The sequence below is a fragment of the Homo sapiens genome, chromosome 3 (genome assembly GCF_000001405.40).
Source record: "Homo sapiens chromosome 3, GRCh38.p14 Primary Assembly".
NCBI lineage: Eukaryota > Metazoa > Chordata > Mammalia > Primates > Hominidae > Homo > Homo sapiens.
This window is the reverse complement of record NC_000003.12, coordinates 36,708,131-36,726,801: the sequence shown is the minus strand read 5'-3', so window position 1 is coordinate 36,726,801 and position 18,671 is coordinate 36,708,131. Positions and strand designations below refer to the sequence as shown.

General features: G+C 43.9%; 1 protein-coding gene across 3 annotated transcripts in view; it reads left to right on the top strand.

The window, feature by feature from the left end:
• DCLK3 (doublecortin like kinase 3) overlaps positions 1-14,381 on the top strand; it is a 52,133-nt gene extending 37,752 nt beyond the window's left edge. Inside the window, exons 3-5 of one of the 3 annotated variants that reach the window (NM_001394672.2) lie at positions 5,143-5,275; positions 8,625-8,792; positions 11,281-14,381. In NM_001394672.2, coding sequence (NP_001381601.1) covers positions 5,143-5,275; positions 8,625-8,792; positions 11,281-11,474 — 495 coding nt within the window. In that variant the 3' untranslated portion in view covers positions 11,475-14,381. The remainder of the gene's footprint in view (positions 1-5,142; positions 5,276-8,624; positions 8,793-11,280) is intronic. The other 2 variants (NM_033403.1, XM_047449090.1) reach the window with 2 other exon arrangements.
• Positions 14,382-18,671: the final 4,290 nt, after the last annotated feature.

Here is an 18,671-nt window from a genome sequence, read left to right as displayed (position 1 = left end):
AGTTTCTATATGCAGACTGAGCAGAATTTCATTTTAGTTCTAAATTTATGACTTTCCATTTGGTGAGGTTAATTATGGAGACATTGATTAGATTGTCTGGTGGTGACTGGGGCTCAGCAATTAAGACACATGCTGCTTATGGAGATGTAAGCTCACTGGCAGAAACCAAAGCAAGTGGGGAGAATTTATTCTGGTCTGGAGAGACAGGGGAAAGGCCGCTCCACCCTGCCATTCTAGGTGTTGCCCATGGCTGTGATGGGTCCCAGGGAGAGGCAGAGTTCCTCTACTGCCCACCTGTCCAGGCACTGGTAGGAGCATTGAGAGCCTTTGCCCCAGTTCCAGGAGAGATGTGAGGGTGTATGCCTGCAGACAAGTTGATAATTTCTCCTACAGCTGTGGTGGCACTAATGAGTCTCCTGCTTGGATAAGATTGCCCAAATTTATTCTAGTAAGTTTTCACACAGTGGTCTAATTAACTGCTTAGTTCACCTTTGGTCTGAGCAATCAGCTTCTACCATGAGAAACAGGGCCTTACGTGTGTGGGTACAAGCTAGTTTGGAAGGAGGCTGGAGTATTGACTTGTGTCTGATTATTTAACCTTCCCTCAAACTGGAAAACTTATTTAATGGCAGGCGGCACCGATGCATCTTTTACTTGCTGCAAGATATGCTGGGTTTGCGCCCTCATGGTTTGGTTTTTCATGTGAAATTTAGTTTTATTTTTTCTAGCATAGTGACCTAAATACTTGCCACACTTACCTCTTGTGATTAGTTTCTTTTAGGTTAAGATCCAACAGTCATAATCTTGTATCAAATCCCTTGTTGGGGGAGGAGGACAGGACATACTAACTTGGCAATGGGATTTGGCTTACCAGAGATGAGAAAGCCAGTCACTTGGACTTGTTTGAAAGAGTGAGACAGGTGGGATAAGTTTTGAATGGGAAAAAGGAAGGAGCATTTGAGATTCTGTATTCATTCAGAGTGAAGGTGAGTGTGCCTTTTCTCTATTTTAAAAATTGACCAATTCTACCCTTTTCTAAAACCTGGTGGAGGTCCAAGGCAAACTGGGCCTTTTGGTCACTCTAGAGCTATTACTTTGCTAGGCAGATTACAGACATTGAATGAAACTTGTGACATAAGCCTATTTGCTGGAAACTGTCACTCCCATTCTCCCCTCTTTTATTTTGAGACAGGGTCTTACTCTGTTGCTCAGGATGGAGTGCAGTGGTGCAATCATGGCACACTGCAGCCTCGACTTCTCAGGCTCTAGTGATCCTCCTACCTCAGCCTCCCAAGTAGCTGGGACCACAGGCATGCACCACCATGCCTGGCTAATATTTTTACTATTTGTAGAGGTGGGGTCTCCTCGTGTTGCCCAGGCTGGTCTTGAACTCCTGGCCTCAAGTGATCCTTCCACCTTGGCCTCCCAAAGAGCTGGGATTACAGATGTAAGCCACTGCACCTGCCCCACCCCCCGTTTTTTTTTTTTTTGAGACGGAGTCTCGCTCTGTCGCCCAGGCTGGAGTGCAGTGGCGCGAGCTCAGCTCACTTCAAGCTCCGCCTCCTGGGTTCACGCTATTCTTCTGCCTCAGCCTTCAGAGTAGCTGGGACTACAGGCGCCCGCCATCAGGCTGGCTAATTTTTTGTATTTTTAGTAGAGATGGGTTTCACCGTGTTAGCCAGGATGGTCTTGATCTCCTGACCTCATGATCCGCCCGTCTTGGCCTCCCAAAGTGCTGGGATTACAGGCATGAGCCACCGAGCCCGGCCCATTTTTTTTTTTTTTTAACAAATGAGAAAACAGAGGCTCAGATGAGTAAAGAAATTTGTCCAAGACCATCCAGCCTCAAGTCTTGGAGTTGGAATTGTTCAAAGACTCCTGGCCTGTTTGATTCTTAATCCCCCACCCCTCCAAATGAGGGCCTGTATTTAACATCTCTCTCCTGCTTATTAGTTTACTTCCTCATTTTTCATAATTTTTAATTTTTGTGGGTATGTATTAGTCTGTTTTTATGCTGCTGATAAAGAGATACCTGAGACTGGGAAGAAAAAGAGGTTTAATAGACTTATGGTTCCACATGGCTGGGGAGGCCTTCCCACAATCATGGTGGAAGGCAAGGAGGAGCAAGTCATATCTTACATGGATGGCAGCAGGCAAATAGAGAGCTTGTGCAGGCAAACTCCCATTTTTGAAACTGTCAGATCTCGTGAGACTGATTCGCTATCATGAGAACAGCACAGGAAAGACCCGCCCCCATAATTCAATTACCTCCTACTGGGTTCCTCCCACAACATGTGGGAATTGTGGGAGTTACAATTCAAGATGAGATTTGGGTGGGGACACAGCCAAACCATATCATTCTGCCCTGGCCCCTCCCAAATCTCATGTCCTCACATTTCAAAACCAATCATGTCTTCTCAATAGTTCCCCAAAGTCTTAACTCATTTCAGCATTAACTTAAGAGTCCACAGTCCAAAGTCTCATCCAAGACAAGTAAAGTCCCTTCCTCCTGTGAGCCTGTAGAATCAAAAGCAAGTTAGTTACTTCCTAGATACAGTCGGGGTACAGGTGTTGGGTAAATACAGCCATTTCAACTGGGAGGAATTGGCCAAAACAAAGGGGCCACAGGCCCCATGAAAGTCTGAAATCTAGCGGGGCAGTCAAATCTTAAAGCTCCAAAATGATCTCTTTTGACTCCAGGTCTCACATCCAGGTCACGCTAATGCAAGAGGTGGGTTCCCATGGTCTTGGGCAGCTCCGCTCCTGTGGTTTTGCAGGGTACAGCCTCTCTCCTGGCTTCTTTCACAGGCTGGCATTGAAAGTCTGTGGCTTTTCTAGGTGCATGGTACAAGTTGTCATTGGTCTACCATTCTGAAGGCTGGAGGACAGTGGCCTTCTTCTCACAGCTCCATTAGGCAGTGCCCCAGTAGGGACTCTGTTTGGGGGATCCGACCCCACATTTCCCTTCTGCACTGCCCTAGCAGAGAGTCTCCATGAGAACCCCTCCCCTGCAGCAAACTTTTGCCTGGACATCCAGGCGTTTGCATACATCCTCTGAAATCTGGCAGAGGTTCCTAAACCCCAATTCTTGACTTCTGTGCAATGGCAGGCTCACTACCACTTGGAATTGACCAAGGCTTGCTTCCTCTGAAGCCACAACTCGAGCTCTACGTTTGCCCCTTTCAGCCATGGCTGGAGCGGCTGGGAGGCAGGGTACCAAGTCCCTAGGCTGCACACAGCATGGGGATCCTGGGCCCAGTCCACAAAACCACTTTTTCCTTGTAGGTCTCTACACCTGTGATAGGATGGGGTGCCATGAAGACCTCTGACATGCCCTGGAGACATTTTCCCCATTGTCTTGGGGATTAACATTTGGGTCCTCATTACTTAGGCAAATTTCTGCAGCCGGCTTTAATTTATCCTTGGAAAATGGGATTTTCTTTTCTATTGCATTGTCAGGCTGCAAATTTTCCAAACTTTTGTGCTCTGTTTCCCTTATAAAACTGAATGTCTTTAACAGCACCCAAGTCACCTCTTGAATGCTTTACTGCTTAGAAATTTCTTCCACCAGATATCCTAAATCATCTCTCTCAAGTTCAAAGTTCCATAAATCTCTAGGGCAGGGGCAAAATGCCACCAGTCTCTGCTAAAATGTAGCAAGAGTCACCTTTGTCCCAGTTCCCAACAAGTTCCTCATTTCCATCTGAGACCACCTCAGTCTGGACTTTATTGTCCATATCACTATCAGCATTTTGGGCAAAGCCATTCAACAAGTCTCTAGGAAGTTACAAACTTTCCCACATTTTTCTGTCTTCTTCTGAGCCCTCCAAACTGTACCAGTCTCTGCCTGTTACCAAGTTCCAAAGTCACTTCCACATTTTTGGGTATCTTTCCAGCAGTGCCCCACTCTACTGGTACCAGTTTACTGTATTAGTCCATTTTCATGCTGCTGATAAAGACATACCTGAGACCAGGAAAAAAAGGAGTTTAATGGACTATGGTTCCACATGGCTGGGGAGGCCTTCCCACAATTATGGTGGAAGGCAAGGAGGAGCAAGTCACATCTTACATGGATGGCATCAGGCAAAGAGAGAGCTTGTGCAGGCAAACTCCCATTTTTAAAACTGTCAGATCTCATGAGATTGATTCACTATCATGAGAACAGCATGGGAAAGACCCACTCCCATGATTCAATTACTGCCCACCGGGTTCCCCTCACAACATGTGGGAATTGTGGGAGTTACAATTCAAGATGAGATTTGGGTAGGGACACAGCCAAACCATATCAGGGTACATACTAGGTGCATATATTTTTGGGGTACATGAGATGTTTTGATACAGGCATGCAATGCATAATCATTACATCATGGAGAATGGGGTATTCATCCCCTCAAGCATTTATCCTTGTGTGATTACTTTTGCACCAACCTAATACAAGCAATCCAATTATACCCTTTTAGTTATTTAAAAATGTACAATTGAATTATCATTGACTATAGTCACCCTGTTTTTCTATCAAATAATAGGTCATATTCATTCTTTCTAAGTATTCTTTTTGTACCAATTAACCGTCCCTATCTCCCCCTCACCCCTGCCCCATACTTCTTCATTTTAATTCCCAGTCTTTTTCCTTTCTTTTTTCCCTCTGCCCAGCCTCTGCATTGCCCAGAGGCATTTTCTAATGCTCATGAAAGCTAGTCTGTGCTCAAAGTATCCTTGATCCTTGTTCTAAGTCAATGCTGTCTAATAGCCCTTTCTGCAACAATGGAAGTGTGTCTATCTGTGTTTCCCAATATAGTAGCCACAAGCCACAAGTGGCTTTTGAGCACTTGAAATGTGCCTAATGCAGCTGAGAAGCTAAATTTTAAATTTAATTTTACTTAATAAACTTAAGTAGCCACTTGTGACAATATGGTGCTACCATATTGGACGGCCTAGTAAATCTAACTCATTGGTTCTTAAGTTGAAAATGTGAGCCCTTGTCATTGAGGTCAAGTTAGCTTTGTCAGTGTTGGGCTAAGCTGTAATCTCATATAGGTTTATGGTTTGCTTTTCTTGACCTTGCATGGCTGTTGTTTCATTAGTATCCCTTCTTTGTTCTAATCACAATTTTGGTGGTTTGGGGATTTTGGTTTCTTACAGGTTCAGCGAAATGAGGACAAATCTACTACCTTGAAATTGGCTGATTTTGGACTTGCAAAGCATGTGGTGAGACCTATATTTACTGTGTGTGGGACCCCAACTTACGTAGCTCCCGAAATTCTTTCTGAGAAAGGTAAGTGTTACACATCGATCTGTGGGACTCTAGTTCCCTTACTAACAAATGTTTCATTTGTCATATTTACTAGTTTTCAATATGGAATAAATCTCAGAGAACTGACACTTAGGCTTGGATTTGGACTTCAATGAAAATATTTGAAGTAGGCTTGACCAAAGCATGAGAGCTTTCTCCTCATTAGGGCTGCCCTTGTTACAGTCAATGGATCAGTGTGTGTGCATGTGTGTGTGTGTGTGTGTGTGTTTATTGTGTTTAGGCAGGACAGTGAGATGAAAGATGATGGAGAATTGGGTGGGGAACTCAAGCAAGCAAGGCTACTTGACCCAAGGCTATCTCTAATAGGAGAGAATTGAAGCAGTCCTTATGGTACTTGGTTTAAAAATTTCTTCACCAACCTTGCATTTAAAGGAAAAGGATCCCATTTTCCTCCATGAACTCTATGAATATTTATTACCTACTTGTATATTATGCAAGGATCCAATGAGCTGTTTTAGTGACAAACTTTCTAAAACATTTAAAAAGGAAATAATAGTTATGATATGGCTCTAAATATATGAATGACTATTTGACTACTGTGGCACTCCAGGAGAAACCAATTTACCCACCATTGGTAAGATGGGAAGACTCTCATTGGGTTGCAGGGTTGGTGACAGGGAGAAGGGATGGACGGATAGTTTCCCAGCAGCAGAAGCATCAGGATAATTAAGATGAGGAGATGGCCAGGGATGGTGGCTCATGCCTGTAATCCCAGCTCTTTGGGAGGCTGAGGCAGGTGGATCACCTGAGGTCAGGCATTTGAAACCATCCTGGCCAACATGGTGAAACCCTGTCTGTACTAAAACTACAAAAAAATTAGCTGGGCGTGGTGGCACATGCCTGTAATCTGAGCTACTCGGGAGGCTGAGGCAGGAGAATTGCTTGAACCGGGGAGGTGGAGTTTGCAGTGAGCCAAGATCGTGCCATTGCACTCCAGCCTGGGCAACAAGAGTGAAACTTCATCTCAAAAAAAAAAAAAAAAAGATGAGGAGATGACAACATGCATGAGGTCAGGTGTTAGAGACATGGAGAAGACTAGCCTCAATGGACCAGAGAGAAACACAATTGGTTGGTATATTAGTCAGGTTTTTCTGTTGCTATAGAAATAACGAAGGCTGGGTAATTTATAAAGAAAAGAGGTTTAGTTGGTTCAGGGTTCTGCAGGCTGTACAAGCATGGTGCCAGCCATCTGCTCTGCTTCTGATAAGGGCTTAAGAAGCTTACACTCATGGTGGAAGGTGACAGGGAACCGGCATGTTACATGGTGGGACTGGGAGCAAGAGAGAGAGAGGGAGGTCCCAGACTTCTAAACAACCAGATCCTAAGTGAACTACCTGAGTGAGAACTCACTTGTCACCAAGGGGATGGTACTAAACCATTCATGAAGGATCCACCCCCATGATCTAATCACTTCCCGCCAGGCCCCACCTCCAACATTGGGAATCACATTTCAACATGAGATTTGGAGGGGACAAATATCCAAACCGTATCAGTTGGGTAGGTTGAGCTTAAATTCTCCACAAATGGGAAGACTGGTTAGAGATGTTTAGACTTGGTGTGGCATCGATGAACTGGATAAGAGAAGAAAAGAAAGCAAATAGGCAACACAAACTCTTGGGAAAACCACATATTGGTGGTAGCACCAACTAAAACAGGGTGTTGGAAAGGATAGCTCTTTTGGGAGATAGGGGGATGGGCTGAGTTTAATTTTGAATACACTGACTTTGTAGCGATATCAGGATGGATAATGGAGTTGTCCACTTGGCAAGGAGGTGAAGCTGTGAGCTGAACATGTGGCTTTGAGACTCCTCAACACAGAGATGGTTGATAATGGGCTCCTTGGTGATGCCAGGAATGAGAGCCAAGGACAGATTCTTGAGGAGGCCAAGAGCTCAGGGATGAGAGAAGGAAGGAGGGATCAGCAGAGAAAAGGCTGAGCAGCCCAGAGAGGATCTGAAAAGTGCATTGTCACAGAGGCCAAGGGACATTTCTAGGATTGATGAGGTCCAGGAAAATCAATCCCTCTCAACAGTGAGATGGTTGAGAACTGAGAAAAGACCAAAAGAGGTCATTAGTGACTTATTCTTTTAATATTTTCCTGCAGATTTGTATTTTGACAAACTTACTCTGGGGCTTAATTATGAATATCTAACTTCTAAATTACAGTGGTCAAGTGTTTTCTTTTTCTAACTGTAAAAAGTTAGTTAGAAAGTGTTTGAAAATGTCTATATTGCTGTGATAAGTTTTGGGAGGACAATGTGTAATATGTATCAAAAACCTTTACTGTATATTGCTTTGTCTATTTCATTGCTGGAAGGTTATTTTAGGAATATAATCAGACATGTGCACAAATATTTAATAAATGCTCATCAGAAAATTCCTTACAGCTGTAAAAAAATTAGTAAAAACTTAAATTACAACATAGGGATTTATTATGTAAAGGGGATACTAATAGTTATTAGAAATCATTTTTGTAAAAAATATTTTTGGTATTTTTCATAGGAAATTCTTATGTTGGAAATGTCATTGTATAATATTCAGTAAATAAAATAGAGTATAGGTGCAATGTGATCCTATTTTTATTTAGAAAAGTAAATAAACATTTTATTTAGAAAAGTATACATGTCTCTATATAGGTGTGTGCGCGTGTGTGTGTGTGTTGTATACCAGTGTGTGCACACATGGGGATACAGCTAGTAAACATCAGTCTTTTAAAAATCATTTAAAAAGCCAGTAAATGATATTTTTTAAGTGAGAGAGAAGACAATGGATATATAGGAAGCAGAGATTGCTAGTGTAGACTGGGGCTTCTCTAACTACCTCCAGTGAAGGGTCAAGTTTTAAAGTTTCCAGTACAGTGTGGACTCACGGTCCTGCTGCATGTGACTAGAACACATCTCATGCCACATGTGACTCACTACATGTGTTTGACAACGCCTGAACTGATGTATGTGCTGTTCAACAAGATGTGCCCTTCAATCATGCAACTGAGCGTCACAGTCTTGTTAAATTGCTATAAGAGTTTCCAAACACTTGCTTTCAATTTCTCTGCTCATTCTATTACAGACCAGTAATAAGGCATTGCAAAGTGGCAGTGATCCATGGACCACACTTTGAGTAATGATGGTGTAGAGTCCTTATGTATAGGAGTTAGCAGGGAGCTGTGTTTGGAAGTGGCTCTTGGTTGCTGAGAGCTGGGATCCTCTATGACTTAGATCTATTTAGAACCACAATACTCCATCATTTATTTCATCACCTTTGACCCTGCCTGGTCTCAGGTTTGCTTGTGTCTCTGCCTCTGTCTGCGCAGGTTATGGACTGGAGGTGGACATGTGGGCTGCTGGCGTGATCCTCTATATCCTGCTGTGTGGCTTTCCCCCATTCCGCAGCCCTGAGAGGGACCAGGACGAGCTCTTTAACATCATCCAGCTGGGCCACTTTGAGTTCCTCCCCCCTTACTGGGACAATATCTCTGATGGTGAGATTTGGGGCTTCCTCACACAGCAGAGGAGCGGATGGGTTTTTCAGGTCAGATGTGTAGAGGACCCACCACTGTGCCTGGTGCAGAGTTGGACTGTCAACATGTCATGTCTCAGCCTTTACTTCCTCAGTAGCTTCATGTAGGTTTGTGTAGCACTCTGAAAACATGGCTTGCTTTCAGATTTAGTGAAAAAGCCCAACCACCAGTTACAGTCACCAAGTACTTTTCCTTAAGGCAATTCAAGAACCTCAGAACAGAAAAATATCAGAAACATTGTAACTCCCCTTTGGAAAGAGAAAGGCCATCTTATATGCAGAAGTGTTTGTGAATGGAACAGACTGAAAATGCTTATTTTACACATGCATAATCAAGGGTCCTATAGCAGCACACTTGAAGCACAGGGGCTCTGCAATGAAGATCTCAGTTATTTTTTAGTGACTTGGAGCATGCATGGTCCTCCCTGCTTTTGGCCCTCTGTTCCATTTGATTCCAAATGAAATCCTTCCCCTTGTCTCTACTGATTTGTCTGTACTACTCACTGTCCTTGTAAAACTGGGAACTAGATAATTGGGGATTTTGAGTCTTTAGCTTAAAAAGTAGAATAGGAGGCTGGGTGTGGTGGCTCATACCTATAATCCTAGCACTTTGGGAGGCCCAGGTGGGAGGATTGCTTGAGACCAGGAGTTTGAGACCAGCCTGGGCAACTGGCGATACCCCTTCTCTACAAAAAATGAAACAAATTAGCCAGGGGTGGTCCCAGTTGCTCTGGAGGCTGAGGCAGGAGGACCACTTAAGCCCAGGAGTTTGAGGCTGCAGTGAGCTATGATTGTGCCACCACACTCCAGCCTGGGTGACAGAGACCCTGGTTCAAAATAAAAATAAAAATAAAGTAGAATAGGAGTGATAACATTTTGTTTTTCAATTTTCCCTAAACATGCTATTGAATTTTAGTTATTGAACTGCCTCCATCCCTAGCCTCTATTTCCTCACTGGGATTGGAGGATGAGGGAAGGGAAAATCTTCATTTTCCCCCCTTTAAATAAGGTAGGGAGAGGGTGGCTTGTCACAGTAGATGAGGATCTTGAGCTGACAAGGCAGTGGCAACTGGGAATTGAGGGACTAAAAATCATTTTAGAAAGTTCTATGCAGCACTCCTTAGATTTGGGCATGGGTGGCCCCTGTCCTGGGCCCTGCTGTAGTCACACCCTTCTCTACAGAGTGAGGAGAGTATGGGGCCTAGGGGATGTGCCCCCAGAGCCCAGGTCCCCTCTTCTAGATCACTTCCTTAGGGCCCCTGAATTCCCTGTCCAAATGGCCCAAGCCCACATCCAAGGTTTGTGAGACCTCTTTCCAGCCTCTTCCCACTATGCCATAAAGTGGCCAAGGAGTGGCCATCTGGAGGGGTTAGACAGAGCTTGGACATGTTGCCTGGGGTGTCTGGTTGTCCACACTTGTACACAAGAGTCTGAGGATTCTCAACTTAAATCTGGCCTTCCAGCCTCTGAGTCATTTGAGGACCCTGAGGGAGTGATGTGGCAGTGGTGGGGCTGGGGCTTTTTGGGGCAGAATTTTCCCAGCTTGAATTGGGTGGTGTAGGAGGAATCTGGGCCTTCTGTGCTCAGGAGGTGGCTGGACATCGGGGGAGGGGAGCGGTGATTGGTGGGTAAGCAGCTGGTCTTGAGTAAGAGACAGCCTTCAATAAAGGCAAAAAATAACAACAACAAAAAGTGGATGTTTTCTTCTTGTGCATATCTTGAGTGATTGGAAGAGCAGTCTCAATGAGCCAGGCTGGGAGAGCCAGCAAGCCAGGGGGAAATCTCTTCTGCTTTCTGCCTGCTGCTGGGCCCACCAGTTGGGCCCTCATTTCTCTAAAATCAGTCATGGTCTTGGGCAGAAAATAAAATTATTTTTGAATTTGCACTATTTACTTTTTAGATTTCTTTACACGGTTTTCAGTTTTGTCAATGTGAAGGCATATGTATTGACTTGGAAAGATTGAACATATTTTATTTAACAATGTGTTAGTTTCGATTTGAAACCTTAAAGTATGTAGATGTATAGCATGTGTTCTCCATTTGTTCCTTTGCCCTGAGTGCCAGGGATGTTAAGAGTGGGTCTGGCCCTGCGATTCCAGAGAAATGAAGGAACGTCCTCTCGAGCTGTGCTGTCCAACATGGTAACCCCCCTCCCTGCTGCCACACGTGGCTATTTAAATGCAAATGTAAATTAACTCAAAGTAAATCATATAAATATTCACTTCCTCAGTTTCACACGCCAGATTTCAAATGCTCAATAATCGCAGGTAGATAGTGCAGATAGAGAATGTTCCTGTCTTCTATTGGACTGTGCTGCTCTAGAATATGAAGGAGGCTTTCAGCCAGCCGTGGTGCTGACGTGAATGTTTATGTTCTTATTTCATGTGTGGGGAAGAAAAATTCAGAACCACCTGCATTCATCACATTTTCCCCTTCTCTCATTCCAACAGCTGCTAAAGATCTGGTGAGCCGGTTGCTGGTGGTAGACCCCAAAAAGCGCTACACAGCTCATCAGGTTCTTCAGCACCCCTGGATCGAAACAGCTGGCAAGACCAATACAGTGAAACGACAGAAGCAGGTGTCCCCCAGCAGCGAGGGTCACTTCCGGAGCCAGCACAAGAGGGTTGTGGAGCAGGTATCATAGTCACCACCTTGGGAATCTGTCCAGCCCCCAGTTCTGCTCAAGGACAGAGAAAAGGATAGAAGTTTGAGAGAAAAACAATGAAAGAGGCTTCTTCACATAATTGGTGAATCAGAGGGAGAGACACTGAGTATATTTTAAAGCATATTAAAAAAATTAAGTCAATGTTAAATGTCACAACATATTTTTAGATTTGTATATTTAAAGCCTTTAATACATTTTTGGGGGGTAAGCATTGTCATCAGTGAGGAATTTTGGTAATAATGATGTGTTTTGCTTCCCCTTTGTAACCAAGTTTATTCTGTACTACAGGAGTGGTGCTTACCAGGGTCTAAACTCCCCCTGTGAGATTAATAAGGTGCATTGTGGTCTTTCTGTGTTAATAAAATGTGCTCTGAATAACAGAAGTGGGCCTGTATTCTGATTACTTCTTTGTGCTGGTGATGACAGCACAAAAATTCAAAAATGAATTATAGTTCAGGCATATCTCCTGAAGCTGATATGACTACATATAGATGTGAAGGACACTTGATTAGTTGACAAGACCTGTTTATTTAGGATGCACTAATCTTGGTCTCTTGCATTTCAGTCTTACCAAAAATCAGTTTTGGTGCAGTCTGAGACATGGAAAGAAAAAAAACAAACCATTGAATCATTCTTGCTCCTGCAATACCGTTATACTGCTTTTCAGCCCCAATTATCCCTGAGCCTGAGTCATTTCTATGTGAAGTCAGGCGCTCAGGCTGTGACCGTGTTAACATTTTCAGATCACGAGGGAGCCATTTAGTACATTAATATGTCAGAAATGCAGTAAATGGATTACACTGGGGCTCGAAGGAGCTCAGAGTTCAAGCACATTCCTACCTGCAGGGCATACACCCAGGACACATTCCAGATTTCTGTGCTGAAATATTGGTCTTTGCAGATGATTCTGGGAGTCTGTGTGAGCTGACAGCAAGACATATCCTAATATTTCCCAAATTGACCTTCCTAGATTATGAATGACCTGGTTAGTAGGCCACAAAATCTAGTCAAGAGTGTGGCTTTTTCACGTCTACCTTCCCTAACAGTTTTGGAGCCATCTGGGCGGAGGCGTGTGTTAGTTAGGAAAACCGGAATAGTACTAGAGAATTCAACATAAGGAATTGCTTAATCAGGTTTTGGAAAATGGAAGAAGCACAAAGGAGGCTCTGGTATAATTTAGAGATAGTAACTGCAGGAAGTGGCTCCTGTTCTTTGGAGAACCAAGGGAAGAAGTTGGGGTTATTAGAACCTATTGAAGGAGAAATTTCTTGTAGTGGACACTGTAGTATGCCACTCAGGTCCTCCAAGACTGAAGGGAATAAGCTCCTTGGGGTGCTGCTGGATGATGGCTCTCAGCTTTCAGCCCTCTACAGGAATTACCCTCCACTGGAAGAGACACCTTTCAGCTCCCTCCTGAAGCAGGCTATATCAAATGACTAGTCCCTGTAGGGTATGGTGGCTCAGCTCCTTTGTCCCAAACAGGGACAATACTGAAGGGCCATCCAACTACGGACCTGCCCATGGGGGTTGGCTGAACTGTTGGTTGAGACTGCATCATAGCCCACTTTCTCCCTTGCCCAATCCTGCTTCTTTCCTTTCCCTTCCAGAGGTAATGATCCTGAGACCACTCCCTAATAAGCCTTTTGGATGCTAATCTGGATTTTAGAGTTGGCTTCTCGGGAAACCAAACCGTTGACACCCCCTAGAAACTTGAAACCACATCAAAGAAGTACCAGCTGGTGCTTTAACCTCAGAAGCTTGGAGAAGGGGCCCTGTGGAGCAGGGACTCAGACCCCTGAGGAGTGGGTGCTGCCCAGCAGGCAGTGTAATGGGACTCATTCTGAACACGTGAAAGAGGCTGGAAGCTGGATTCAGTTGCTACTAGAACATATTTTGATAAAGACACCAGTAACCTTCATTTCACTAAATCCAAAAGAGAATTTTCAATCCTCAAATTAGCATCACTTGACCCTATTGACCACTTTCTCTTTGAATAATTTCTCCTGTTGACTACCATGATGTCACATTTTTCTGGTTTTTTTTTCTCCTATACCTTTGGATCTCTTGTATAGATTCAGTCTTCTTCCAGTTGCTAAAAGCTGTAGTTGCATCCTTAGTGGCTAGGGAAATGCAAATTAAAATCACAATGAAATATCACTATACACCCATTAGAATAGCTAAAATTAAATGGCTAAAATGAGAAGACTGACCTTACCAACTACTAGCGAGGATGCAGAGTGACTGGAACTTCCCGTACATTGCTGCTGGGAGTATAAAATGGGACTTCTCCTTTGGAGAATGGTTTGGTAGTTCCTTTAAAAGTTAAACATGTACCTACCATATGATATTCCACTTCTAGATGTTTACCCAGCAGAAATTCAAGCATATGTCCTATGAAGACTTCACAATATTTATAGGTGCTTTATTTGTAGTAGCCCCAAAGTGGAAACATCTTGAATGGGCATGATTTGGTGCATGGATAAACAGATTGTATATCCACACAATGAATAACAGCCACAAAAAAGGGATGAACTATTCATACACGAACAACATGGATGGACTGCCAAAGAATTAGGCTGAATGAAAGAAGAAAAAAAAGACTACATTTTGATTATTTCATTTACATACTATTCCAGAAAATACAAGTGAATCTATAGTGACAGAAAGTGATCAGGGGGTTTGCTGGAGATGGAAATGGGGAGAGGAGGGACAGAAGGATTGCAAGGGAACACTTGGTAACTTTGGGGAAGAGGGACGTGTTCATTTTCTTGAATGTAATAATGGATTTATGGGGGTATATATGTCAAAACTTACCAAATTGTACACTTTTGTTATGTGCAGTTTATTGTGTGTCAATTATACCTCAATAAAGTTGTTAAAAATATAGTTGCAGGTCCTCAAAGTTCAGTCCTAGACTCTATTTTCACTCTATTTCACCTGGCAACTTCATTTACACTCACTGTCTATTTGCAGATGAGCTTCTCCTTCCCTGCCCCCAGTTATGTTTCCATCCAAGGCTTCTCTAAGTTCTAGGCCCACCTTTCCAACTGCCTACAGAACATATCCCTGCACAGCCATCAGAGGTTCCTCTACAGCAGAATGCACAATTATCACCTCCAAACCTGTCCTTCCTCTATTTCTCCCTATCTCAGGGAATGGTGTTGTTCAGCAAGTTCAAAACACAGGCATCACCCTTGATACCTCACTCTCTGACTCCTGAATCAGTCCCTCCCCATTGATTTACTTCCTCAGTGTTGCTTGGATCTGTCCACTAAACTTTCTTAGTTTCTCTTCCATTGGACGTTTAGGCTGTTTCTCAGTAATTATTTATTCTTACAAACATGCTGTATTTACCATCCATCCTATATGCATCCTTTGCACATGTGTAGGAGAATTTCTTTTCTTAGATAGAAAATCTCCAACTTGATCAGATATTGCCAACTTGATTTTTTAATTTATCCTCCCATAAAGAGTGATGAAAGCTTCTTTTCTCTCATGGTTTACCACATGGTTTTGCTTTTTATTACTCAAATGATAATATTTGAACATAATTGAGAAATAACACAGAAGCTGTGTTGTTATTACAACAAAGCTGTGTTCAAAACTTTGACAATTGTGTAGCACTTAATATATAGCTCTTGGAGTGAATTCCAGTGTGTATCTCATTTCCACCCAGAACAATGGCACCACTGGCTATGATTCTCAGCCCTGCTTTACAGATGGGGAGACTGAGGCTCAGAGAAATAACCTGACTTGCCTGTCATCACTTGGTTTACAAAAAATGCCAGCTGCCAGATAAGCCCTGCAGTGCAGAGTGGCACCATCCCTTCCGTTCCCGGCCTCTGCTCTGTGTCTGATCCTGCAAGGCCAGATCCCAAATACCCATGGATAAGCAATACTAAAAAGACTCCTTTCTGCAACAGAGGTACTTTTTCTAGAGGCTCCTTTAACTCCAGCCCCAGTCCTTCCACTTCATGAGACCTGGAAGGCTGTGTTTGAAACCAGTGGCCAGTACTGTGGGGCCAGGGGCATCACATGCAACCCAATCACCTACAGATTTGTTGGGAGTTGATGGTGAATGTGGAGGTGGCTTAGGAGTCATGGTTGGTCCTTCCAAGGGGGACACTTCCAGTGGAGAAGCCCCAGGGGTGACTGTCAAGTGACTTGTGTTCTTTCTAGGGCTTGGCTCCAGTGCCTCTTGAGTTGGGCAATCATAAGGCAACAGCTTTGTGTTTCTTACCTGCTCCAGGTGGCACGGGAGTTTCTGATTCTCTCTTCCCCTGAAAACTCATGACACTGATGTGGAGGCTCTGGTTGCCTTATTGATCCCTGAAGCACCCACTATTCTGATCCTGCCCTGGGCTGAATTGAGTCTCCTCACTCAGTCATATCTTTCTCCAGGGAAGCTCACATCCGATAACAGGTTGATCTGGGTTAAAAAGGTCCAGTCCCCTTGCTTCAACTCAGGACAGCTCACAGGGCCATGCTGTAGCTCCATGTGGGATCAGACATGGCCTTGGTTTCAACTAGACCACAGTTAGCTCCTTCTTCTGCTCAGTCCCACGCTATTCATACCTTCTTCCCCAGCAAGTGCTGACACAGAACAGTCCCCAGTAAACTTCCTGCACACATGCCTCTCTTTCAGTGTCTGCTTCCCAGGGAAACCAGCCTGTGACTTTCTCATAGCCAGTGAGAATGAGCAGGAGGCCACTGAGCTTGGGGACCATCTAGCCCCTCTTGACTGGAATGGACCTGCCTAATGCTTGGCTGCCCAGACTGAGGCTGATCCCAGAGGACCAGGGCACAGATCGGCTCTGGGTCCAGGGCTCTCTGAGTGAGTGCACCCTGCTGGCTTTGAGGAAGCTTTTAGCCATGTAATCCAGGGTACCAGCAAACTCAGAGGGTTTGCAGAAATAATTCTGGTTTTCTTTATTCAAAAGAGGGATTAGAATGAGTTCCAGTGTGTGAGCAAGACTGGCTGGGCCTGTGTGAGTAACGAGGGTCCAGCTCTATAGCTGTGCTGAGGAGTGGAGAGCAGCTCACCCAGGTGGTGCTGGATGCTGCTGGCCAGAGTGGGAGGAAGCTGAGCCTACCTGGAGAAATCTGGGGACACGGGGTTCTCCCAAGCAGACCCTGAGACAAGGACATAGGTGGATAGTTTATTTGGGAGGCAAAACCAAGAAGTGTGGAGAAGAAATGGGGAAATGAGTCCAGGAAGAGAGGAAGGCCAAGAAAGAGTGCATTCACGTGTGAGGGCCGCTGTGGGCAACTGGAGCTCACGTCCACTGAGAGCGCTCTTGAACACACTTCAGAACTGTCTCATACTGGGCAAGAAAACTGGAGTTGTATCCACCAACTACTGTCCTTTGTTCTTTGAGAGTTTCTCTTGGTGTATGAACTCCCTGCCACTTCTGTCCTGTTTCAAGCCAGGCAAGCTTCCAGTATATGCCAGGTCCTTGACATTTTCTCAGAGAATCCTCAAACAACCTCATTGTATAGGTGTTATTATCCCACCCCAGCATCTCTTGCATGAATGACCATCATTAGAGTGAATTTTAAACAGAAATTTAATCATGTCGTCCTCAGCTTAAGATGGCTTTCCATTACATTTTAGAACTCAGGCTACCTCCTCACCGTGGCCTAGAGGAGAAAAATGGCCTGGCTCTCCCTACCTCAATGATTTCATCTCCAACCCTCTCCACATGCTAGCTCTGCTGTAGTCCCACAGATGCTTCTGTGGCTTCTCAAACACAGCCATCTCCTTTTGGGGCCTTTGTACTGATCATTTCCTTTCTCTAGAATGATTTTCCTCCAGCTCTTTGAGGTCTCAGCACAAATACTGCCTCCCCTGAGAGGCGGCCTCCCTCAGATGCTGTCCCATCCCCTTGTTTCGTTTCCTCCAGTGCACTCCTCAGCCTCTGAAATAATCTCGTTTATTTTGTTTGTCTACCTGTTTGCTCCCCACCACCCCCTTTCAGAATGTAAGCTTCAGGAGGACAGGAAGGAATCTTCTCTGTCTTGTTCCTTTTGTATTGTCAATGCCTAGAAAAATGTAGGCTCACAATAAATATTTGTTGTATGCATGAAGCAATTCCCAATGTATCAGTGAGGGAACTGAGGCTCTAAGTCACACATGTCATAACTGGCAGAGCTGAGATCTGAACTCATAATTATCAAAGGCTGTGGATCTTCTCTCCTTGCCACCCTGCCTAGGAAACCTGGAAAACTCACGTCTCTCCATTCCTGTATCTTGATCCTAAGTTTTAGCATCCTGCCATTAGTCCCGATGTAAAATCCCCAGGGTCATTCCTCTATGGCAGATACTAATGGCTGAGTTTCTGAGATAGAATCTCCATTGCTGTTTTTCCTTAACTGAATGAATATTTTTTCACATTTTAGAATTCCTTCAATTGGAGTGCATTTTACTGTTGATGAATGCTTAATATTGTTTCCTTTTCACCTTGAAAGACCGTATTAACCCTAGGGTGTATCTTACAGTGACGACATCCTAGAATCTGGAAATATATTGTGGTGAAAACCCTGTAGTTATTTTCCAGAAAGCAATGGTAGTTGAGATAAATAGTGGAAATTTCTCTCTTTCCCTTGGGTTGTATTCTTTCTGTTTACACAGGTACTGTACAGAGTAGCATCAGATATTTATTTTGTTGTTAATGGTATATTATTTTTTTTCCATGTCTATCTTCCTGATAGAATCTTGGAATCAAATAATAAAAGAACATAAAGATATATCTAGATTTGTTCTGACAAGTTTCATATCTCTGAATATACTCAGAGAGGAAAACTTGACCTTAAGAAAAATTACATTGAGAAATCCAGCTGCTATTAGAAAAGCCATTCAGCAAAGAGAAAATGATGTGTCTTCTATTGTGGTACCTGTGTAATTTATGTCAACAGGAAGCCAATAACTTCATCATGATCTGAAAGTAAATTTCACTTGTGAGATCTTGGGCTCTCTCCTGATCTGATAGAAAGAAGCATGCTCTATACATTCTCAACTCTAACTTCCCAAAAGAACTTTGGTGGGAGGTGAGGTTAGGGGAAGACAGATGGCTCTCAGATTGCTCTCATTTCCTGTCAGTCATCACCAAGGCTCCCAGGCATTTGACAGTGAGAGATTTATGCATGAGCATCACGGAGGTAACTCTGGAAACAGAA